At 41.0% G+C, this 24,541-nt stretch overlaps 1 protein-coding gene across 30 annotated transcripts in view, besides 1 other annotated feature; it reads right to left on the bottom strand.

Moving 5' to 3' along the window:
• The window catches only part of ACSM3 (acyl-CoA synthetase medium chain family member 3), a 123,177-nt gene that overhangs the window by 30,061 nt on the left and 68,575 nt on the right, over nucleotides 1–24,541 (bottom strand). For 17 of the 30 annotated variants that reach the window (XM_047434437.1, XM_047434427.1, XM_024450368.2 and 14 more), the window contains 3 exons: nucleotides 18,153–18,256; nucleotides 17,518–17,611; nucleotides 11,905–11,948 (listed from right to left, as the gene is read on the bottom strand). The gene's annotated coding sequence lies outside the window, so the exon portion shown is untranslated. Of the gene's footprint in view, nucleotides 1–3,395; nucleotides 3,508–11,904; nucleotides 11,949–17,517; nucleotides 17,612–18,152; nucleotides 18,257–24,541 lie in introns of those variants that run through there. The other 13 variants (XM_047434439.1, XM_047434440.1, XM_047434429.1 and 10 more) reach the window with 4 other exon arrangements.
• Nucleotides 3,241–3,370: an enhancer, noted in NCBI's record as "active region_10539". NCBI's record gives its function as "activates an Ori minimal core promoter by ATAC-STARR-seq in GM12878 lymphoblastoid cells {active_cell/tissue: GM12878}" and the evidence as "EXISTENCE:reporter gene assay evidence [ECO:0000049][PMID:35858748]".

Genomic DNA, 24,541 nt, shown 5'->3' with positions numbered 1-24,541 from the left:
TTTTGAGACGGAGTCTCGCTCTGTCGCCCAGGCTGGAGTGCAGTGGCGCGATCTCGGCTCACTGCAAGCTCCGCCTCCCGGGTTCACGCCATTCTCCTGCCTCAGCCTCCCGAGTAGCTGGGACTACAGGCGCCCGCCACTACGCCCGGCTAATTTTTTGTATTTTTAGTAGAGACGGGGTTTCACCGTGTTAGCCAGGATGGTCTCGATCTCCTGACCTCGTGATCCGCCCGCCTCGGCCTCCCAAAGTGCTGGGATTACAGGCGTGAGCCACCGCGCCCGGCCCCGGTCCCTGTTTTTTGCTGGCAAGTCACAACCTATGCTTTTGGCTGCTCTCCTCTTAACAGAATTAGCATCAGGTTTCCTTCAACTGAAAGAAGTTAAGTAATCAACACTACTTGTCTCTCTCTGTTTTTAATTTTTTTTCGCATAATATCTTCAAATGGCTCAAAAAAACTGTAAAAGGTACAGAGGGAAAAAAAAATATCTGCCTCCCACCTCTAGTCTCAAAGCTGCCCACTTTGCTCTCACTCCCAGGAAACCACTATTATTATTTCTACTTATCTTTTCAGGGTTTCTTTATGTGCATTCAAGCAAATTATGAGTATAGATTCTTATTTCTCCACCAATTTTACACAACAGGTAGCACAGAATACACACTATTCTGCCCACTAAAAACATTTTTAACAATGTACCTTTTAAGGGCTTTCCATACCAGTGCGCAGAGATCTTCATTCTATTTTTTTAAATGAAGTATTTATTCATTTATTCTTTCCTTTTTTTCCCTGCCTAAAGACAGGATGGATCTCACTCTGTCACCCAGACTGGAGTGTAGTGGCACGACCACCCCTCACTGCAGCTTGAACTTCTGGGATGAAGCGATCCTCCTGCCTCAGCCTCCAGAGTACCTGGAATTACAGGTGTGTGCCACCACACCCAGCTAAGTGTTTTAAAAAATTTTTTAGAGATGGGGGTCTCACTATGTTGCCCAGGCTGGTCTCAAACTCCTGACCTCAAGCAATCCTCCTGTGCTAAGCACTTTGCAGTTATTTATTATTATTTCCATTTTACAGACAAGGAAATATACACAAACACGCACACGGCCTCCCAAAGCACTAGGATTACAGGTGGGAGCCACCACACTCAGCCCTGTTCTGATTTTTTTCTTTTAACAGTTGTATGACATTCTAGTGAAGAACTGCACTGTCATTTCTTAAACCGGTCCCCTATCAATGGTCACTTGAGTTTTTGTATAATTTTGCAATTTAGATAAAATGTTGAAACTATGTCTTCCAAAAGGAACGTCCTGATTCTTTCATTACTTGGATGTAAAAATGAATAGTATTTTTAAGTGGTTGTGAAGTATTAGAAACAATTTCTGATTCTATTAAATAAAAGGCAGGAATTTGGACAAATATCTTAAGGTCTTGAGCTTCATTCTTGGTAGGTTGGCATGATTCATTTATTTATTCAACAATTATTAATCACTTGCCATGAATTATTTCAGACATAGAGGATACAGGAGGGAATGCAAGAGACAAGGTCCTCCTTGCTCTCATAGAAAGACACATATAGTAAACAAGGGAATAAATAAATGTGATGTTACGCAAGAAAACAAAGAGAGTAATGGGAGAAAAGGGACCTTTTAGGAGGTCTCTCTAGGGACGTAACATTTTTGCTGAGATCTGGCAAGTGGTTGTACTGTTAAGCATTTTGCAGTTATTTATTAGTATTTTCATTTTACAGACAAGGAAGTATACACAAACAGACACACATATTTAAATTGGACAACGCATTTATTCATTACCCGTGTATTTATTGAACACTTGGTATATGCCAGACCTGTACTAAATGCTGAAAATATAGCTGTGAACAAGACACGGCTGGTCTTGCTCCCATGAAGCTTATAGACTATTAAGGAAGACATTAAATAATTATGTAAATATTAATATGATTGGAGATAAATATATCATACTTAGCTTGCTGATTCTGAATAGAATCAGAGTTTAGTATGATTTGTTCCCTAGCTCCCATACAATACTCTACACCACATTCAGAATCCTTCAAACGTATGTTGAAAAGAAAATTGATCAGTCATTTGGAGCTTAAAATGAACCTAACCATTCTGTTCTACCAAAAAGCAAATATCGACATCCTCTTCATCAAAACCATAAGATTACCTTCTCCTCAACAAAGTTCTTTTCCTCCCTTTTCATCGATCTTAGCATTTTACAACTTCTATTTCCCAGGTTTATAAAATTATTTGTAGGTAAAATTGCTGAGATAACTTTCCCAGGGTGACTCCAGATTTTTATACTGAGCCACAGAAACATTGGTAAGGAAAACTCTTCTAAGAAAGACAGTACCACCCCTGGTCAGATAGGCTTCTGAAAGTATTTAAGGTCTCATCTGAAATGCAAGCTCTTTGTCCCTACAGCCAAGGGGGCTTTAGCCTCCCCACAGCTCCCTAAACATCCCTCCCTCTAAGTATCCAAGTAATAACAGTAGTTTAACATATACAGCCTCAACGCAAGGTAAATTCACTGCTGTTGTCTCCAAACCCAACCAGACCCTGCCTGAAGCCCCTCCTATACAGAACTTTTGCAGCTGCCCTTGACCACCTAAAGGAGAAAACTGGCTGCTCTTAGGTTTGCATCTGTGTTTCCCAAAGTTTCCTGGAAGTAATTTACATACTTTCTGGATGATGCAGAAGATGGATTCCCATCTGTCACTGAGCAAGGTGGGGAGCTAAGCAGACAGTACAATGAAAATCTCAGCCACTACCTGGTCTTTTTTTTGAGATGGAGTCTTGTTCTGTCACCCAGGCTGGAGTGCAGTGATGCAATCTCAGCTTACTGCAAACTCCACCTCCCAGGTTCAAGTGACTCTACTGCCTCAGGCTCCCAAGTAGCTGGGGTTACAGGCACCTGCCACCACACCTGGCTAATTTTTTATTTTCAGTAGAGATAGGGTTTCACCATGTTGGCCAAGCTGGTCTCGAACTCCTGGCCTCAAGTGATCTGCATCTGCCCACCATAGCCTCCTAAAGTGGTGGGATTACAGGCTTGAGCCACCGCATCTGGTTCAATTAAAATTAAAAAAAAAATTTATCAACTTAATACATGTACATAGTTTTTCAAAAAATCAAATAGCACCAAAAGGCTCAACATGAAAACTCAGCTGCTACATTTATAGCCTTTTGTGTGTGCATACTCCTCATCACTTAATAGATAGTATCACACAACTGAGAAATTCTGAGAGAAACTTTGGCTGCCCAAGACTTTAATGACAGCATTTTTGATTGTTGGTTTTGTTCATCTGTTTGTTATCTTTGCTCAAAAAACAGATGTGCCAGTTCAGGAAATCTTACACAGGAGGGGAGATGAGGTACTCACTAGTTAACAGATTCCAACACAGATGGAGATTATGGCAGACTTGTTTCTTAGAAGAGCAGCCCTGAACCTTGAGTTCTCACATCTGCTTTTTCCTCGTGGCAGTCTAAAGAAGAGGGAGGAGCAGTCTGACAATCCGGAGGAGCAAGACTGGCCCAAAACACTTTCCTTGATTGGTGGAGACATTCTGGAGGAGGAGCCAAGCTCTGGGCTAAAGTTTACAGGACTCCCAGCGGTTCCTCTTACAGGTAATGATTTACAGAAACAGCAAGCTTTTGAGGGGCGGAGAAAGCAAATTATTAACAAGAAGGAAAGTGTCCAAGGAGTTGCCGAAGTGGTTAGTTCTGTAAAGGGGCAGAGAGAGCACTTCTCAGAAGGAAGAACAGATGGAGGAAGCCATAGAGGAGTTTTGAAATTGAAAGGAAAGAAGTTGAGGGGCGGTTATGGGTTGGCCTAAATCTCATCAAGCCCATTGGTGCGTTTATCTGTCGAAGTGGCAGGACTAAACATAAACGCTATCAGGTTACTCCCCTGCTCAAATCTTTCAGTGCTTCTTTTTCCACTCCAGGTAAAATCCGAGTCCTTACATGAACTGCAAGGAGTTGTATGATCTGGCACAGGGTCCTCTGATCCACAGCCCATTCTCCTTCCTCTGCCTCACTCTGCACAGCCACCGGCCTCCTTGCTTTTTCTCAAACACACTTGCCTGTTTCAGCCTCAGGCTTTCTGAATTCACAGTTTCCACTGACTGGAACTCTTTCCTCAGATATCCCCCTGGCCAAATTCCTCATTTTCTGAGGTGTCTTATTAAATAACTCTTCCCTTACCTCATTTTCTAAAGTAGCACTCTTCATTTTTTCTCTTTTACCATTTTTTAACTTTTTACATCTCTTACTATCACCCTTGAGGGTAAGAACTCTTTTTGTTTGATGGTGTATCTATTGCCTGGAATAGCTACTGGCAAATTTTAGGCATTCAATAAATAGTTGATGGATATGTGAATAAATAAAGGACTCTTTCAATTACATGTGAGAGACCCAACTTTACTTAAAGAGGAATTTGTTGGTCACTTTTGAGTTCTAGGAGTCTTTTGTTGTTGATTCCTTGGGATTTTCTGTGTAATCACATTACCTGTAAATAAGTAAACAGATCTTACTTCTTTCTTTCAGATCTATATGCGTTTTATTTCCTTTTCTTGCCTTATTGCGCAGGCTAGAGTGTCTAGCTCTACGTTGAATAAGAGTGATGAGAGCAGACATCCTTGCCTTGCTTTTGATCTTAGAGGGAAAACATTCAGTCTTTCATGGTTAGGTACAATATTAGTAGTAGGTTTTGTGTAGATGCCCTTTATCAAGTTGAGGAAATTCTCCTCTATTTCTATTTTTTTCTGAGTGTTTTTATCATGAATAGGTGTTGAATTTTGGCAAGTGTTTTTTCTGCATCAGTTACTATAAGCATGTGGTGTTTTTCTTCTTTAGCCTGTTAATAAGATAGATTACACTGATCTTCTAATATTGAACCAGCCTTGCCTCCCTGGAATAAACCTTGCTTGGTCCTGTTGTATATTTCTTTTTCTGTATTGCTGAATTCTATAGTTATGTCTCTTGACAAATTTGAGAACTTTTCAGCTATTATTTCTTGGAGTAAATTTTTAGCCCCCATGTTAGATCTTTTATGATAGTTTCACAGGTCCCTGAGGCTCTGTTCTTTTTTTTCTTTTTTTTCCCATTCTAGTTTCTTTCTTTTGTTCAGGTTGAGTAAATTCTGGCTTCCAGTTCTTTGATTTTTTTCTTCTATTATTTCTATTCTGATGTTAAGCTCATTATTAGAGACAGGGAAAAAACAGTGTTTTTTTTTCTACTCTCACATACCATTCAGCATAATGTTAGCAGTGGTGAATCCATACGGATCTACAATAACTTGATTCTTGCCTCTTCAAAGGAAAGAATTCATCCAAGAGGCATAAGGCAGAGTGAGAGACTGAGGCAAGTTTTTGAGCAGGAGTGAGAGTTTATTAGAAAGTTTTAGAGCAGGAACCAAAGGAAGAGGGGCAAGCAGGCAACTTGAGAGATCCAGGTGCCCTGTTTGACTTTTGACTTTGCGTTTTATACATTGGCATGCTTCCGAGGTTTTGTATCTCCTTTGATTTTTTCCTTGGCATGGGCTGTCTGCACGTGCAGTGGCCTGTCAGCACTTGGGAGGGGCCACATGTGCAATGTCTTTACTGAAGTTGTGCACATTCTCATTTGAGGCGTTTTTCCCTTACCAGTCAAGTGTTCCTAGAGGAAGGTTGTATACCAGTTAAAATCTGCCATTTTGCCTCTTAGTACGCATGCTTGAGCACACTTGCCCAGTTCCTGAGATCTTATTGGAAAGCTGCTGATCACCAGCTTTAGGTGTTTTCTATCTCTTAGGAGACTGCCTTTCCCTGGCACCTACTGCAACCAATTATTTTAGAGTGACAGTTTAATAACCGCCTGACCATCACCTGATTGTCGCCTGACATTCCTGCCTTTCCTGCCTTGCCCATATCTGCCTGACTACCTACTCTAACAATAACACTTCTGACACTAGACGTGTGGGGGGTTTTCACTATACCAAGCAATTCTCCAGTGGACACCAGCTTGGGTGTCATGTCCTACTTAGTTCAACACTGTCTACCTGGAAATAGTGTCAGATCCTACAGGTTAAGGTCTCAATCTGTAAACTAAAAAGTATCTGAGACAGGTCTCAATTAATTTAGAGGTTTATTTTGCCATGGTTAAGGATCATGACCCATGACACAGCTTTAGGAGGTCCTGAGAACATGTGCCCAAGGTGATTGGGTTACAGTTTGATTTGATACATTTTAGGGACAAAGAAGTTATAGGCAAAGACATAAATCAATACATGCTGAGGAGGCTGAGGCAGAAAAATTGCTCAAACCTGGGAGGTGGAGGTTGCAGTGAGCTGAGATCATGCCACTGCACTCCAGCCTGGGCACTCCAGCCTGGGCGACAGAGTGAGACTCCGTCTCAAAAAAAAAAAAATGTGTATACATTGGTTCAGCCTGGAAAGTTGGGACATCTCAAAGGAGGAAGAGGCTGGGCTTTCAGGTAATAGGTGGATTTAAAGATCTCCTGATTGGCAATTGGTTGAAAGGGCTAAACTCTGGCTGAAGAATTGAAATCAGCTTGAGTTAAGGTAAAGGGTGGGGGGTTGCGGAAGCCAAGGTTCTTTTCAAGTAGATGAAGCCTCCAGGTAGCAGGCCTCAAAGAGAACACTTGTGAATGTCTCTTATTAGACGTTAAAAGGTATCACACTCTCTGGAAATACATAGTAAAGATGAAGAAGGAATTAATGAAATCAACTATAACCTAATAGTAGTGGTAACAGAAATTTTTAAATCCTCTTAAAGTTGCTGCAACTTTAACTTGAGTTATACTTAAGTTAAAAGAGAATATTAACAGCCTGTCTTCTCTCTGTGGTCAGTGGACCTTATCTATATTCCCCAACTCCACATTCATCAAAGTTTATTACAGGCTCAGTGAGTTCCTGCTTACCTCCCTAGCATGGCTTCAGGGTCACAAGACCGATAAGTTTAGGTTGGAAGACATGTTTTTCTCAAGATGTAAGAAATGTTGTAATGCTTGATTAACTGCCTTTGTTTCTCTCTTCCGTAACTTACTTCCTGCCTCACATGGTTCCTGCCTTAAGATGTTTAAAAGTAGGAAAGCCTTTAGTTTGGGGCTCAGACTTTCTGGATGTATGTCTGGCTGAGCCTGTGATCACCTTAATAAACTCTCCTGAACCTTTTTCAGTCTCTCCAGTCTTTGATTGTCCCGCAACAAAGGAAGGAGATTTTCCTACAGAATGCAGCTTTTCCCCACAAGAGACAGCTTTGCAGGGCCATTTCAAAATGTGTCAAAGAAATATATTTTGGGGTAAAAGACTTTGATTTTCTTCAGGGCCTGCTATCTGTTATATGATGCTGTACTAGAGTCATTTTAGAATTTGGATCTTATTGCTACAAAGAGTCTGTTTTGTCAGTTTTAAGATCACTGTTTCAATGTTAATGTTGGTCAGTTGTGCTTGAACTCCAAAAGGGAAGAGTATAATGAGGCATGTCTGTCCCCGCCACCCCCTGTAGCTGCCCCTACTGGCTTTCCATCATGGCCTAATTTTTCAGATTTCCTTGGGTCCTCTTGGTCAAAAGGAGGGTCAATTCAGTCAGTTTGGGGGCTTAGAATTTTATTTTTGATTTACAAGTCCCACAAGACTGCCCCCCACTTCAAGTGTCATAAGATTCAAGGTTGTAATCTGTACTTCTAACCCCTCTCCTTGAGTTCAATTAATTTGCTAGAACTATTCATAGAACAAAGGGCAACACTTACATCAACCCATTTATTATAAAGGATATTACAAAGGATACAGATGAACAGCCAGATTAAAGAGATGCATAGGGCGAGGTGTGGGAGAAGGGGTACAGAGCTTCCATGTCCTCACCAGATGTTCTACCCTCCTAGAACTTCCTCATGCTCATCTACCCAGAAGCTCCCTGAACCCAGCCCTTTTTTTTTTTTTTTTTTTGAGATGGAGTCTTGCTGTGTCACCCAGGCTGGAGTGCAGTGGCGTGATCTCGGCTCACTGCAAGCTCCACCTCCCAGGTTTACACCATTCTCCTGCCTCAGCCTCCTGAGTAGCTGGGACTACAGGTGCCCACCACCACACTTGGCTAATTTTTTTGTATTTTTAGTAGAGACGGGGTTTCACCGTGTGTTAGCCAAGATGGTCTCGATCTCCTGACCTCATGATCCGCCCACCTCAGCCTCCCAAAGTGCTGGGATTACAGGCGTGAGCCACCACACCCAGCCCCTTTTGGGTTTCTTAGAGGCTTCATTACACAGGCCTGACTGATTAAATCATTGGTCATTGGTAATTAACTCAACCTTCAGCCCTTCTTTCCTCCCAAGAGGTAGGGGGATGGGAAGTGGCGTGGTGGTGGGGTGGGAGAGAAAGTTCTAACCCTCTAATCACAAGGTTGGTTCTCCTGGCAACCAGCCCTCATCCTGAACCCCTAACCCCTAGTCATCTCACTAGCATACAAAAAAGCTCTCTTCAGCAAATGTAAAAGAACAGAAATTATAACAAACTGTCTCTCAGACCACAGTGCAATCAAACTAGAACTCAGGATTAAGAAACTCACTCAAAACCGCTCAACTACATGGAAACTGAACAACCTGCTCCTGAATGACTACTGGGTACATAATGAAATGAAGGCAGAAATAAAGATGTTCTTTGAAACCAACGAGAACAAAAACACAACATACCAGAATCTCTGGGACACATTCAAAGCAGTGTGTAGAGGGAAATTTATAGCACTAAATGCCCACAAGAGAAAGCAGGAAAGATCCAAAATTGACACCCTAACATCACAATTAAAAGAACTAGAAAAGCAAGAGCAAACACATTCAAAAGCTAGCAGAAGGCAAGAAATAACTAAAATCGAGCAGAACTGAAGGAAATAGAGACACAAAAGACCCTTCAAAAAATTAATGAATCCAGGAGCTGGTTTTTTGAAAGGATCAACAAAATTGATAGACCGCTAGCAAGACTAATAAAAAAAGAGAGAAGAATCAAATAGACACAATAAAAAATGATAAAGGGGATATCACCACCGATCCCACAGAAATACAAACTACCATCAGAGAATACTACAAACACCTCTACGCAAATAAACTAGAAAATCTAGAAGAAATGGAGAAATTCCTCGACACATACACTCTCCGAAGGCTAAACCAGGAAGAAGTTGAATCTCTGAATAGACCAATAACAGGATCTGAAATTGTGGCAATAATCAATAGCTTACCAACCAAAAAGAATCCAGGACCAGATGGATTCACAGCCGAATTCTACCAGAGGTACAAGGAGGAACTGGTACCATTCCTTCTGAAACTATTCCAACAATAGAAAAAGAGGGAATCCTCCCTAACTCATTTTATGAGGCCAACATCATCCTGATACCAAAGCCGGGCAGAGACACAACCAAAAAAGAGAATTTTAGACCAATATCCTTGATGAACATTGATGCAAAAATCCTCAATAAAATACTGGCAAACCGAATCCAGCAGCACATCAAAAAGCTTATCCACCATGATCAAGTGGGCTTCATCCCTGGGATGCAAGGATGGTTCAGTATATGCAAATCAATAAATATAATCCAGCATATAAACAGAACCAAAGACAAAAACCACATGATTATCTCAATAGATGCAGAAAAGGCCTTTGACAAAATTCAACAACCTTCATGCTAAAAACTCTCAATAAATTAGGTATTGATGGGACGTATCTCAAAATAATAAGAGCTATCTATGACAAACCCACAGCCAGTATCATACTGAATGGGCAAAAACTGGAAGCATTCCCTTTGAAAACTGGCACAAGACAGGGATGCCCTCTCTCACCACTCCTATTCAACATAGTGTTGGAAGTTCTGGCCAGGGCAATTAGGCAGGAGAAGGAAATAAAGGGTATTCAATTAGGAAAAGAGGAAGTCAAATTGTCCCTGTTTGCAGACGACATGATTGTATATCTAGAAAACCCCACTGTCTCAGCCCAAAATCTCCTTAAGCTGATAAGCAACTTCAGCAAAGTCTCAGGATACAAAATCAATGTGCAAAAATCACAAGCATTCTTATACACCAATAATAGACAAACAGAGAGCCAAATCATGAGTGAACTCCCATTCACAATTGCTTCAAAGAGAATAAAATACTTAGGAATCCAACTTACAAGGGACGTGAAGGACCTCTTCAAGGAGAACTACAAACCACTGCTCAAGGAAATAAAAGAGGATACAAACAAATGGAAGAACATTCCATGCTCATGGGTAGGAAGAATCAATATTGTGAAAATGGCCATACTGCCCAAGGTAATGTATAGATTCAATGCCATCCCCATCAAGCTACCAGTGACTTTCTGCACAGAATTGGAAAAAACTACTTTAAAGTTCATATGGAACCAAAAAAGAGCCCGCATCACCAAGTCAATCCTAAGCCAAAAGAACAAAGCTGGAGGCATCACGCTACCTGACTTCAAACTATACTACAAGGCTACAGTAACCAAAACAGCATGGTACTGGTACCAAAACAGAGATATAGATCAATGGAACAGAACAGAGCCCTCAGAAATAACGCCGCATATGTACAACTATCTGATCTTTGACAAACCTGAGAAAAACAAGCAATGGGGAAAGGATTCCCTATTTAATAAATGGTGCTGGGAAAACTGGCTAGCCATATGTAGAAAGCTGAAACTGGATCCCTTCCTTACACATTATACAAAAATTAATTCAAGTTGGATTAAAGACTTAAACGTTAGACCTAAACCCATAAAAACCCTAGAAGAAAACCTAGGCATTACCATTCAGGACATAGGCATGGGCAAGGATTTCATGTCTAAAACACCAAAAGCAATGGCAACAAAAGCCAACATTGACAAATGGGATCTAATTAAACTAAAGAGCTTCTGCACAGCAAAAGAAACTACCATCAGAGTGAAAAGGCAACTTACAAAATGGGAGAAAATTTTCGCAACCTACTCATCTGACAAAGGGCTAATATCCAGAATCTACAATGAACTCAAACAGATTTACAAGAAAAAAACAAACAACCCCATCAAAAAGTGGGCAAAGGATATGAACAGACACTTCTCAAAAGAAGACATTTATGCAGCCAAAAGACACATGAAAAAATGCTCATCATCACTGGCCATCAGAGAAATGCAAATCAAAACCACAATGAGATACCATCTCACACCAGTTAGAATGGCAATCATTAAAAAGTCAGGAAATAACAGGTGCTGGAGAGGATGTGGAGAAATAGGAACACTTTTACACTGTTGGTGGGACTGTAAACTAGTTCAACCATTGTGGAAGTCAGTGTGGCGATTCCTCAGGGATCTAGAACTAGAAATACCATTTGACCCAGCCATCCCATTACTGGGTATATACCCAAAGGACCATAAATCATGCTGCTATAAAGACACATGCACACGTATGTTTACTGCGGCACTATTCACAATAGCAAAGACTTGGAACCAATCCAAATGTCCAACAATGACAGACTGGATTAAGAAAATGTGGTACATATATACCATGGAATACTATGCAGCCATAAAAAATGATGAGTTCATGTCCTTTGTAGGGACACGGATGAAATTGGAAGTCATCATTCTCAGTAAACTATCGCAAGGACAAAAAACCAAACACCGCATGTTCTCACTCATAGGTGGGAATTGAACAATGAGAACACATGGACACAGGAAGGGGAACATCACACTCTGGGGACTGCTGTGGGGTGGGGGGGGGGGAGGGATAGCATTAGGAGATATACCTAATGCTAAATGATGAGTTAATGGGTGCAACACACCAGCATGGCACATGTATACATATGTAACTAACCTGCACATTGTGCACATGTACCCTAAAACTTAAAGTATAATAATAATAATAATAATAATAAAAAGCACTTACCACTTCAGAAATTCCAGGGGTTTTAGCGGCTATGTACCAGGAAACTGGAATGAAGATGAAATATATATTTTATAGTATCATACCATCCACCAAGCTTTTGATTTCTCATTGAATTTTTTAGTTCTAATATTTATTTTCATTTAGTTGTTCTTGATATCTTCTATTTTTTGCTGATATATATTTTTTTCATTTATTTCAAGCATACCTAATTGTTCACTGAAGCATTTTTATCAAGGCTACTTTAAAATCTTTGTCAGATGATTCTAACATTTCTGTCATCTCAGTGTTAGCATCTATCCATCATCTTTCTTCATTCATTTGAACTCTTCCTGGTTTTGGTATGAGGAGTGATTTTCAATTCAAACACAGACATTCTTGTAATAAGACTCTGCACCTTATTTAAACTTTATATTTTAGCTGGCTTTGACACTGCCCAGGTAGGGGACAGGGAAGGGGCACCACCTCATTATTGCCAGGTGAATATAGACATCTAGGTTCTTTACCCAGCTTTGGATGACACCTGAGTTGCAAGGAGCTTCTTCTTATTGTTGGGTGGGGACTAGAGTTCCAGCTCCCGACATGGTCTCTATGGACACTGGCCTGTTCCCTGCTTGGCCTTCTCTCACACCATCCCCAGCCTTCGTCACAATAATTCCTCTGCCCCTCTAAAATCTTAAGTCCATTGACTTAAGCACACCTCCTTCATGCCTTCACTTATCTTCTGCCCAGCTTGGATTCTCTGTGCCATTCAGATTCTTTGTACTGCTCTCCCTCCACCATACTCATGTGGGAAAACCCAGCTCTATGCAAAACTCCAGATAATTCTACTTATTTGTGACACTTGAGAAGCTTAATATGGCTCTGGAGAATTGCACATGGTATTTGTTGGTGGTCCTAAACTCAATGGTTACACTTGTTACAAGATAGACTAAGGCACATTAAAATTTTAAAGCATACATGTGAGCAAACTGATCCATGAATCAGGCAGCTCCAAATGGGAAGTAATTCAGGGCTCTATTGCAGGGCACAAAGGGAGGGTGTTTATAGGGTGAATGTGGAAGCTGAGCAAAGAAATTACTTGATTGGTAAAGGTTTGAACAATTGCCTTATTTGCACTGTTCTGGTGGGAAGTTCAAGACAATATACTAAAGCCCAGTTGGCTGCCTGTGACTGGCTGAGCTTATATTTCATTTTATTTTAAATTCTGAGTTAGGCTTCAGTTTGCTTATGTGGGAACCCTGAGTGTTAGAGCCACCTCAGTCTAATGGCCTCCTATTTAATTATGTTAGCACACTTTAACTTCCTGACTGCAAAATATTCATGTGGGCCGTTCTCACTCTCTGACAACCCCACTACATTTCTACACTTGGAGATAACTGTTTCACTCCTTCCCCTGTTTCTCTAAACTAGTACCTCTCCTTCTCCCCTCTTATTTCACTGAGATTTATAAGTGAGAAAAGCCAGAAGAGAATGTCCTTATTCCCCCTAACCAGTTAACCAACCAGTACTCTTACAACTCTGCCCATACTTTCTGCATTCCTTCCAATGACCATGGAAAAATTGTCCAAGGTCCTAGCGTGGGTCACCTTTTCCACTGTGGACTTGACACCATTCCCTCTCCCTTACTCCAGGATATTACTCCCTCAGTTATTCTTCCTCTCTCTTGCATCATCAATTTCTTTCTTTCTCTGTCTTTTTTTTCTTTCTTTCATTCTTTTCTTTCTTTCTTTCTCTCTCTCTCTTTTCTTTCTCTTTCTTCTTTTCATTTCTTTCTTAAGAGTTGTAATAGGGAAACAAAGTCAGGCACAAATACATGGTAATATTTCCCATGTGAAAATAAAATTTCTTGGGCCATTTGTCTCCCTCCACCTCTTCATTACTTGTCTCCTTTTTACAGCAAAATTTCTCAAAAATAGTTGTCTGTATCTGCAGCTTTTACTTCTTTATTCTCTGTCTGTATATCTGTACCTCTTCTCTTGGTCTCTCTTTTTCTTCCTTATTGTGGAAAATCCTTATGTATCTCTAAAAGATAAGGACTCTTTTAAAACCTAATCACAATACCATTTAATACCTGAAAAAGCCATAATAATCCTCTATTAATATAATTTTTCAAATTTCATGTTTCCAGATTCACTCTTTTTTTTTTTTTTTTTTGGAGACAGTCTCGTTCTGTCACCCAGGCTGGAGTGCAGTGGTGCAATCTCAGCTCATTGCAACCTCTGCCTCCCAGGTTCAAGCAATTTCTGTGCCTTAGCCTCCCAAGTAGCTGGGATTACAGGCATGTGCCACCATGCCTGGCTAATTTTTGTATTTTTAGTAGAGACGGGGTTTCACCATGTTGGCCGGGCTGGTCTCAAACTCCTGATCTCAGGTGATCTGCCCACCTCGGCTCCCAAAGTGCTGGGATTACAGGTATGAGCCACCCCACCCAGCCAGCCTTTTCCAGATTCAATTTTGTTTTACATTTGTTTTTTTTTTTCAACTCAGTGTCCAAACAAGGGCAACACATTGCATTTTATTGATATATATCTTAAGTTTTTAATCTATAAATTCCATCTCTCTCTTCTTTTTCTTTGTAATTCATTGTAGAACATACGGCATTGTCCTCTAAAGTTTCCCAAATTCAGTGTTGATTTTGCTAATTCAATGTGGTTGAGTTTAACATATTTTTCTGTCCCGTGTAGTTTCTATAAACTAATAGTTAAATCTAGAGGATAGATCCATTTATAGCAAAAAGATTGCATAAATATCTTTGCAGAATTCTATTGCATCACATCTGGAGAATCATAATGTTGTGTTGGCTCTCCTTTTGTGATGTTAAGGCATCACCTGATCCATTCATTATGTTTCCAGCAGCTTTTCACCTAATGCAGCTATTGATAATTGTTATCTATATCTATTATTTCATAGGGATCTCCATTTTCTCTAAAAATAGATCAGGTTTTCTTCTCTAGCACTCAACTGAAATCTAATCTCCCTCGACCCCTACCCAGTTTTAATCCTAGGGAGTAACCTAGTGCCACTGAGGCTTTATCTAAGAAGGATTCCGACATAAGTGATTGGAATAATTCTTATATTCAACTGTCTTAAGAAAAACTCTAATAAATAAATGTAGTTCCCAGCCAAGACCAGGCTTTTGAGAGAGTCTTCTAACATATCATTTTCCATCAACTGTTTTCTTTTATCATGAGACAACCACAAGAAAAACAATGGCAAGGAACAGCAACTAGGGTTGGGACCATTCCTTATACGGAGCAGAAGTGAATTTTTTTTTTTGAGAGACAGAGTCTCACTATGTTGCCCAGGTTGGTCTTAAAACCCTGGGCTCAAGTGATCCTCTGGCCTTGGCCTCCCAGAATGCTGAGATTACAGGTGTGAGCTACCATGCCTGGCTGAGTAGAAGAGAATGACCACTTTTTTTTTTTGTGAGACAGAGTCTCGCTCTGTCGCCCAGGCTGGAGAGTAGTGGTGCAGTCTCGGCTAACTGCAAGCTCTGCCTCCCGGGTTCACACCATTCTCCTGCCTCAGCCTCACTTGTTGAATGTTTTCTGTATGCCAAGTGTTTTAGATAGCTCATATCATTTATTTCTCATAGCAGCTCTGTAAGCTAAGTAGTACTATATATCCATTTTTTTTAATGTGAGGAAACGAAGTCTAGTAGAGAGAAAACAACCTTGAAATAAGTCACAGCTTGAAAGTGATTCTGACAGAAGGTTAATGTCCTTTTGTTTTAATGCCAAGTTGTTTGACTATACCTAGAATCAGTTTGGCTGGAGCAAAGATTTTGACAATGAACATGTCAATATATCCCTTAAATGTGATTTTTGCCTTCTCATAAAACCCCCAAGGGAAGAAGAATGGAGAAGCCAAGGTGACATAACCGATGTGTAATGAAACCCCATCTTTCCATTCCTTTTCTTCCCAAGAGACCCTGGCTCCCACATAGACCAGCTCTGGTACAGCTAAGCAGAGGAAGAATGGCAGGGCTTCTCCGAGCCCCACTGAGCTCTACTATCACTTGGCAGGGGGATGATGAGCAGTGTTTTATAGAATTGGCATAAGTCAGTCAAAATGGGGAAAAAAGGCACCTGGAATATTTTCCCAGTTTCTCCTGGGTTTCTATCTCTCATCAGCCAAGTTTGACTACATCTTTTCTTAAATGTAAAATAGCTTGAAGTTATGAATTTTTTTTCAAATACTTTAAACAACAATAAAAAATCCTTTAAAAAGAAAAACATTTTTATAAATAGTTCTACAGGGAAACAAGAAACAGGAAAAAGGACAAAGCTTTATAGAACTGTCAACTATTTTGTAAGTTACATACAGATAGAAGACCTTGAATTCTGTTTCATGTACATTTTGTAAGGAAGGGGGAAGAGGTTTTTCATGGTGTTCTAGCAGAAATACAGAAGGCTGGCCACTGGTTCAGGATTTTCCACTGATTCTACCAAGAAAATAACAGATCTAGGCTTTCTACCAAAATCTGACACCAACTGGGCACAGTGGCTCACGCCTGTAATCCCAGCACTTTGGGAGACTGAGGCAGACGGATTTTGAGACCAACCTGGCCACCATAGTGAAACCCTGATTCTAAAAATACAAAAATTAGCCAGTCATGGTGGTGTGAGCCTGTAATCCCAGCTACTTGGGTGGCTAATGTAGGAGAATTGCTTGAACCTGTGAGGCAGAGGTTGCAGTGAGCCAAGATTGCACCACTGCACTCCAGTCTGGGCAACAGAGTAAGACTCCGTTTCAAAAAAAAAAAAAAAAAACCTGACTCCAAAACTTATATTCTCTCTACTACATTATGAGGCCTCTTGCTCTCTTAATTTGTCTGAAGCACAGTGTTTATAATCTCTATGGACAATAAAGTTGTAACAAGAATAGTGAAGACATTCTGAACAAACTCTGGATTCCCAGTGTATTAGTCAAGGTGTGCTAGGCTAGGCTGCAGAAATAAACAAATCTAAAGCTCAGAGGCTTAAGTCTGATGCAGAATTTTTTGCTTAATGGATTTTCCTAGGTGGCTGTCACTTTAAGTAGTAGACTCAGGATCCTTATATTCAGAGGCCCCGCTCTCCCCTAAGCCTGAGTCCTGGTTGGATCCTCTGAAATCAGATAGCTGACAAGAAACGAGAGAGAGGGGGGTGTTTAGGGGAAGAGAAATGCATTTATGAAGGATCTCATGAATTTAGGCCTAGAAGTAGCATGTATCACTTCTGCCCACATTTCAATAGCCTCACCCTCACTTCCAGGGACCTGAGAAATTAGCCAATCTGAGGACCCAGAAGAAAAGAGAAATACTTTGGTAAGCATCTACATCAAGAAATAACACTATTTTAACATATAAAAATAATACACGCATATGGTTATAATAAAAGATACAGATTGATATAAAATAAAGAGTAGTCTCAAGGGAGTAAGTGGGATAGATATATGTAACTAGTTTTCCAATCAAGTCTTAACACTTTTTCCCCCAATTTTTGTTTTCCCCCTTTATTATCCCTTAATGTAATGACCTTTTGGAATGATTCCACAATTTCACAATCACTTTCAGTTTTTAAAAGTTGGTCCACTCAGAAATTTAAATCTCAAACCCAGTGTATGTTGTACCTGTTTGCCTCTCCCCAGCATAGGCTTGACCTGTACTTCTAGGGACCTGTGGTGGGCAGTTGGGTTGTCCACTCTTCTCCTCTGGCTCTGACACCTGGAATAGAGACACATGGCCTTATTTGTCACTGACACCTTTCCCTTCTCCTTCTTTTACACTCTGGAGCCTCCATTGTTGAGGGCGAGGAAACAAGATTGGAGTTAGAGGGCTTACTATGCTGGGTGTGACTTTCATCCTCTGTCTGTTGGGTCTACCTGGTCAAGCCCAGGCAACTTCTGAAGATCCATTTGATGTACCAGATATGCACATATACTTGCAACACCCTATCTTATGCTTCAGGCTTCTCCTCTGCTGTCCTCCACCCCTGCTCTACTGTCTCTGCCTTGCCATCTGTCTCTACTTCTCTTTCTGGCTCAGTTTCTCACTCAGCCAGGCAGAGGGGAATATCAACCAAGGAATGTGATGCCAGTCTCTTCTTAGAACCACCTCTCACCTTCACAGGGGATTCCCTTGGTAACCCTGACAGCAAAGGGGGTGAAAATACTCTTCTCCCCTTTCCCAGGCTTCTAACATAAGCTGAGAAGCAGGATGGTGAGGCTGGGAAATTGGTCAGAGGTAGCAGAGCCAGTAGAGTTACCTTTTCACAAACCTGGAGAGAGATGCTTCACTTAGTCCTTGTTGACAATTCTCTTTAGAATGCAAAAATCAGAGGTTTAGTGTCTCTTCATTCTTATCTTTGGGCTTTAGTTGGGAAATGTGGAAAAACAGTAGGTCTTATTAACCATCATTTTCATATATATATAGGATTAAAATATAACACACATATATATACATATGTGTATATCTATGTGCACATAGATATATAGATATTCCCCTTTAAAACATAAGTTAGTTCATATTACACATATCTCACTTTGAAAATCTTTTCTTTTTTCTTTTTTTGTGGAGACGGAGTTTCGCTCTTGTCACCCAGGCTAGAGTGCAATGGCTCATAGAGTGCGATTATGGCTCATTGAACCTCCATTTCCTGGGTTCAAATGATTCTTCTACTTCAGCCTCCCGAGTAGCTGGGGTTACAAGTGCCCACAACCACACATGGCTGATTTTTGTATTTTTAGTAGAGATGGGGTTTCACCATGTTGGCCAGGCTAGTCTCGAACTCCTGACCTCAAGTGATCTGTCTGCCTCGGCCTCCCAAAGTGCTGGGATTACAAGTGTGAGCCACTGCCTCCAGCCAGAGCTTTTCATATTAACATGTTTAGATATAATAGGTTATCTCTGGGGTACTGAGAACCAGCAAGAAGTGGCTGGAAACACATCAAAGCAAACTGACCAACACAAAAAGCCTGAGTCTCAACCTCAACTTTTTTGGTAAAAATTATCTCTACCAAACGTTCCAGTTAGCAACAGCTACAACAAAACAGCAGCAGTGAACACTTATTGAATATTTGTATGTGCAACTGACATGAATATTTTATTCAATACTCACAATGACTTTTAAGATAGATGCTGTGGCTATTCTCATTTTACTGATGAGGAACATGAGGATTAGAACAATTAACTTCCCCAAGGTCACAGAACTAGCAATGTGGTGGACTCAGTATTTAAACTCAGGATGGTGTGACCCCTAAAATATATTCTTAATCAATTTGTCTTTGTTCATCTATACATTGAATGCTGTACTCTTACTGAGGATGTGGCTTCCCTTCAATTTTTCATTTAAATATAAATTATTCAACCTGAGTATTCATGTAGATAATTCTTATTTAGGCCTTATTTGTACTGAAAGAACCTCTAAACTCCAGTTACCCTAGACTCTTTGTTTATTTATTTATTTATCTATCTATTTATTTATTTATTTATTTTTTGAGACATGGTCTCATTTTGTCCCCCCAGGCTGGAGTACAGTGGTCAGATCATGGCTCACTGCAGCCTTGACCTCCTGGGCTCAAACGATCCTCCCACCTCAGCCCCCCAAGTAGCTGGGACCACAGGTGTGCACCACCACACCTAAGTTTTGTAGTTTTTGTAAAGATGGGGCTTCACCATGTTGCCCAGGTTGGTCTGGAACTCCTGAGCTCAAGCGATCCACCTGCCTTGGCTGCCCAAAATGCTAGGATTACAGGCGTGAGCCATCATGCCCAGCTAGACTCTTACATGTACACTATACCTACCCTGAAATTTATATTTCTTATATCAGTGTTTTACTCAAGACTAGTGTTCTGCATTGGTGGAATATGCAGTCCATAGCATGATTTGAGTGGTAAATGGAATTATCTTTCTGTAACTTATTAAACTGAGATGCCACCATTGGTGATTCATTCTTTGGAGCATTGACTGAAGTGAAAGTAAGAAGCAGGCGGATGATCTAGAAGTGCTCAAAGAAGTAAAACTAAATAATAAAACTGTTGCAGGAATTAAGGGACAGGAGAGACCAATGGGTGGGACAGGAGGATTTTATTAGGTGAGCACCAGCCCAGCGGATTAACACCCAAAGGCTGAGCCCTGAACAAAGACAGGGCTTGACTTTTATACATGAATTTGAAAGGGGGTTGGCCAGTTTGATGGTGTGAAACCTGTAGGGTGGGTAAGCAGCTTACAGAAGCAGAACAAAGGCAGTTTGTTAAACAGTGACAGGTTTTGCAACTGAAGCATATCTTGTGACCTTGCCATGCTGTACAGAAGGGAAAAACAGGAACTTATAAAACTTTGCAAAATAATTATGAGAATGATAAGGGGGAAGGCGGAAGCTGAAAGAGAAGAAAAACTTGTTTTTCTCATCCCTGCTCTGGGATGGCAGGGAGAGGCTCTGGAACCCATCCCTTGAGGGCCCTGGCTCTGCAGATAGTGTTATCAAAGCCCTTCCAGAGCCCTGTCTATCGCTGGGCCTTGCAGTGAGTCAGCCTCCAAGAAAACTTGTTTTTTTTTTTATATCTCCTGCTTCAAAACAATTACTTTGGAACATAGATTATTCAACCAAATCTCAAAGGAGTGGGAAGGAAGTACCCACAAAACACCAGGAAAAGTTTAAGAAGAAAGACTTGTATGTTTAGAGTATAAAATTGAAAGATAAAATTGGAGGGAAAGAGATTTAATGACTTTTGCCCTTAAGAACATAGGCCCTCAAAGTGCCAAGTTTGCCATAGAGAAACATATCTGTCAAAACTGGGACCCAGGCACTGGTGGAATGAAATGAATTAGAGGTGATGGGGATCAGTATAGGACACTCAGCAGGGCTGAGTAGGTACAAAGGCCAGGCCAAATTTGACTCCTCTAGGGGCAGACTCAAGTTCACATTGGTTTAAAATTGGGTTCCAGCCTGGGTGATCAGGCTGTTGGGTGAGTTTCTCACACAGCGTCTGGGTGTAATGAAAGCACAAATGTGACAAGTGCTGCCAGTGAGGCTACAAAGCTAGTGAAAGGTGGGATGTCATTCAATCAAATGTGAGGCAGAAACCAGCTGGCAGAGGTAAGGCATGCCAGTCTTACGCATTTTATGTTATTTTACTTTACGCTATATATACTTTTAAATTCCCCTTTTCCACAGAGGAGGTCTATAGAACAATAAAATAAAACCCCTTTTAGTCTCCTAAGTAAAAGGATTCAACAGCTTTTAGTAAACCAAAAATATAAAAGAACCATTAAATTAGAGAATAATAGACAAATAATGAGGTTAGGTGATCAGACTGAGGGATGGATACTTACATCAAAAAGAAAAAAACAGGCTTCCATGATTCACGACTGAGTCTGAAAGCAGCTGTTTTTAAGCACATGTTGACTGAACAGTGGCTGAGAGCTAAGCACTTGTCATGACTGATCTTACTGGATTTTCCTAATAACCCATGATGTGAGTATTATTATTTCCATTATTATTATTTTTAAATCTAACAGGGAATCTAAACCTTGGCTTGGGTAACTTACTCAGAGTTTCACAGCCAGGTCATGGCCAAAGCAGAATTTGAACTTGGTTTGGCTTTAGAACCTGGGCTTTTAATCGTACTTGATACCTACTCTGAAGGCAGCAGATATTGGGAATCAAGTCAGAAGGAGACTGGGATTCACAGCCAGGATATCCATTCCCTGAAGATGCTGGGTAACAAGAGACTAAGGCAGGAAGTGTGGATGGGGAGCAAGGTCAGAACACGAGGAGTGTCTAAGAGCATCTCCTACCTGGGTTCTGTACTGAACATACAAGTAGAACTTCAGGGACAGTAACTTTGAAGGTTAGGAAGAGAAACAGAAAGGGAATCTAGAATGTGTCACACCATTCCCCCCTTGCTTGGCTGTGAGGCCTTCTGAATATCTGAAGCAAATAGGTTAATTAAAACAAAAGGTAACATCCTCAGATCACCTTAATCTACTCTAGATGGTGCCACAAGGTGCCAAGTGGTCTCTATTTATTTATTTATTTATTTATTTATTTATTTTGAGACAGAGTCTATTTTGCCCAGGCTGGAGTGCAGTGGCACGATTTCAGCTCACTGCAACCTCTGCCTCCCAGGTTCAAGCAACTCTCGTGTCTAGCCTCCCAAATAGCTGGGATTACAGGCATGCACCACCATGCCCAACTAATTTTTTTATTTTTAGTAGAGATGGGGTTTTGCCATGTTACCCAGTCTGGTCTTGAACTGGCCTCAAGTGATCTACCCTCCTTGGCCTCCCAAAGTGCTGGGATTACAAGCGTGAGCCACCGTGCCTGGCCCCAAGTGGTCCCTTCTAAGAGAGGTTTTCAAGCGACAGAGTCCCTGGTGTCTAAGGATAGACACTGGGCCATTGTCCATGTCTGGGAGGTAACCTAAGGAGGTGAAAGTTCACACAGCCATGAAATAATAGATGTAGTCTAAAGAATAAGCAAAAAAGAACAAAGAAGAATAATAAGGAATAAATGAAGGCTGAGTTATTTAGAGCTGGACGAGGGCCTGTTTCAGAAGAGGAAGTAAGTGGACGCAGCCCCGGCAGCTGCCACAGGATGAGTGTGTGATTTAGATAACTAACGTCTAGACTGAGAGCTACAGGGTTGCATATTTTTCTCACTTCATTGGATATTCTCTGCACAGTCAGCAACCATGAAATACAATAAACTGTTAAAAAACTTTAGACAAATTAAATTTAACAGAATTAAATTGCACAAGGAAGGATTCTCAAATCAGGCAGGCCCCTGACCCACTAACCGGAATAGGTTTAGAGACATCCTGGTGCTGCCACATGGTCAGAGATGATTTATGGACATAAAAAGAAAAGTGAGGTGCAGGAAATGGAAGTAAGGTACAGAAACAGCCCAATAGGTTACAACTCAGTATTTGCCTTATTTAAACGTGGTTTGGCTGGGCGCAGTGGCTCATGCCTGTAATCCCAGCACTTTGGGAGGCGAAGTGGGCAGATCTCTTGAGGTCAGGAGTTCAAGATCAGCCTGGCCAACATGGTGAAACCCCATATCTACTAAAAATACAAAAATTAGTTGGCCGTGGTGGCATGCACAGGTAATCCCAGCTACTTGGGAGGCTGAGGCAGGAGAATCGCTTGAACCCAGTAAGTGGACGTTGCAGTGAGCCGAGACTGCACCAGTGCACTCCATCCTGTGCGACAGCAAGACTCCGTCTCAAAAAACATAAAAATAAAAAACATGGTTTGAACAATCAGCCACCTGTGAGTGGTTGAGCATGGCTTCTGTGCTTGGCTGAGATTTGGCTACTTGTTACAACAGCCATTACAGTCTGTTTACACATCCAATTAGGTTATAGTTCACTATGTATGGAGAAACCTGTAGGCCAGGGATGTCCAATCTTTTGGCTTCCTTGGAAGAAGAATCCTCTTGGGCCACCCATAAAATATACTAATGCTAACAATAGCAGATGAATTTTTTTTAATTGCAGAAAAACCTCAGAGTGTTTTAAGAAAGTTTATTAATTTGTGTTGGGCCGGTTGAATTTCAAAGCTGTCCTGGGCCACATGTTGACTGTGGGCCAACAGGTTGGACAAGCTTGATTTAGGCCAAACTTAAATTTAGCCTAAAGCTGCCTCCTCACATATTTTAACAAAACTGAGTTTTTGTTTTTCAAGTTTGCCTCCATATAGTACTCAAATATGCTTGGGACTTGAAATATATATATTTTAACTTGTTATCTGTATGCTAATATTTGATATCCTAAGGACAGGTGGCAGAGTGTGGGCAACTGAAACCCAGCCAGCAGAAGAGAGAGAGATTTGGGGGAAGGCCAATGCCAGTGTCATGACACTGCTCTTCACAAACAACTGAGGACTTCTAGAAATCTCTGCTGTGCAGTGTCCACCAAAGAAATTCTGAAAATTAAATGCTGTATTGAATACACAGGTAAAAGCAAACAATAAGATGATAAAATTTTTGGACATAGTGGTAGATCTGGGGTTAGAACCTAGGGTTTATTGACTGTGAATTCGGTGTCCCTTTCAAAATATCAGATTACATCTTTTAGGGCTTTGTAGGAACTCAAATCTGCTAAGAGGTTTGTACCTGAAGAGTAGTATGAGAAGCACTTGTTTTTTAAACACATTCTTCAAAAGTGGCATCTTCAATGATTTTTAAAAAGACAGTAACATGATAAGTTGCCAAGACTATGGATAAAAGGCCGCAACGAAAGCAGCATGAAACAACACCAGCCAACATCCTTGGTTTTAAGTGAAATAGAAACATAGCCTGGAAAATTGAGGCTGAAATGGAATTTACTGGAAGCCTTTTGAGTAACTGTTCTATGTGGGAAATGCGCGAGGGGAAAAAACAAGACAAAATACGGCCAGGCGCGGTGGCTCACGCCTGTAATCTCAGCACTTTGGGAGGCCGAGGCGGGTGGATCACGAGGTCAGGAGATTGAGACCATCCTGACTGACACGGTAAAACCCCGTCTCTACTAAAAATAAAAAATATTAGCCGGGCGTGGTGGCGGGCGCCTGTAGTCCCAGCTACTCGGGAGGGAGGCAGGAGAATGGGGTGAACCTGGGAGGCGGAGCTTGCAGTGAGCCCAGATCGCACCACTGCACTCCAGCCTGGGC

This window comes from Homo sapiens, chromosome 16 (assembly GCF_000001405.40).
Source record: "Homo sapiens chromosome 16, GRCh38.p14 Primary Assembly".
Classification (NCBI taxonomy): domain Eukaryota; kingdom Metazoa; phylum Chordata; class Mammalia; order Primates; family Hominidae; genus Homo; species Homo sapiens.
The sequence above is the reverse complement of the archived record's forward strand: the minus strand, read 5'-3'. Positions and strand labels throughout refer to the sequence as shown.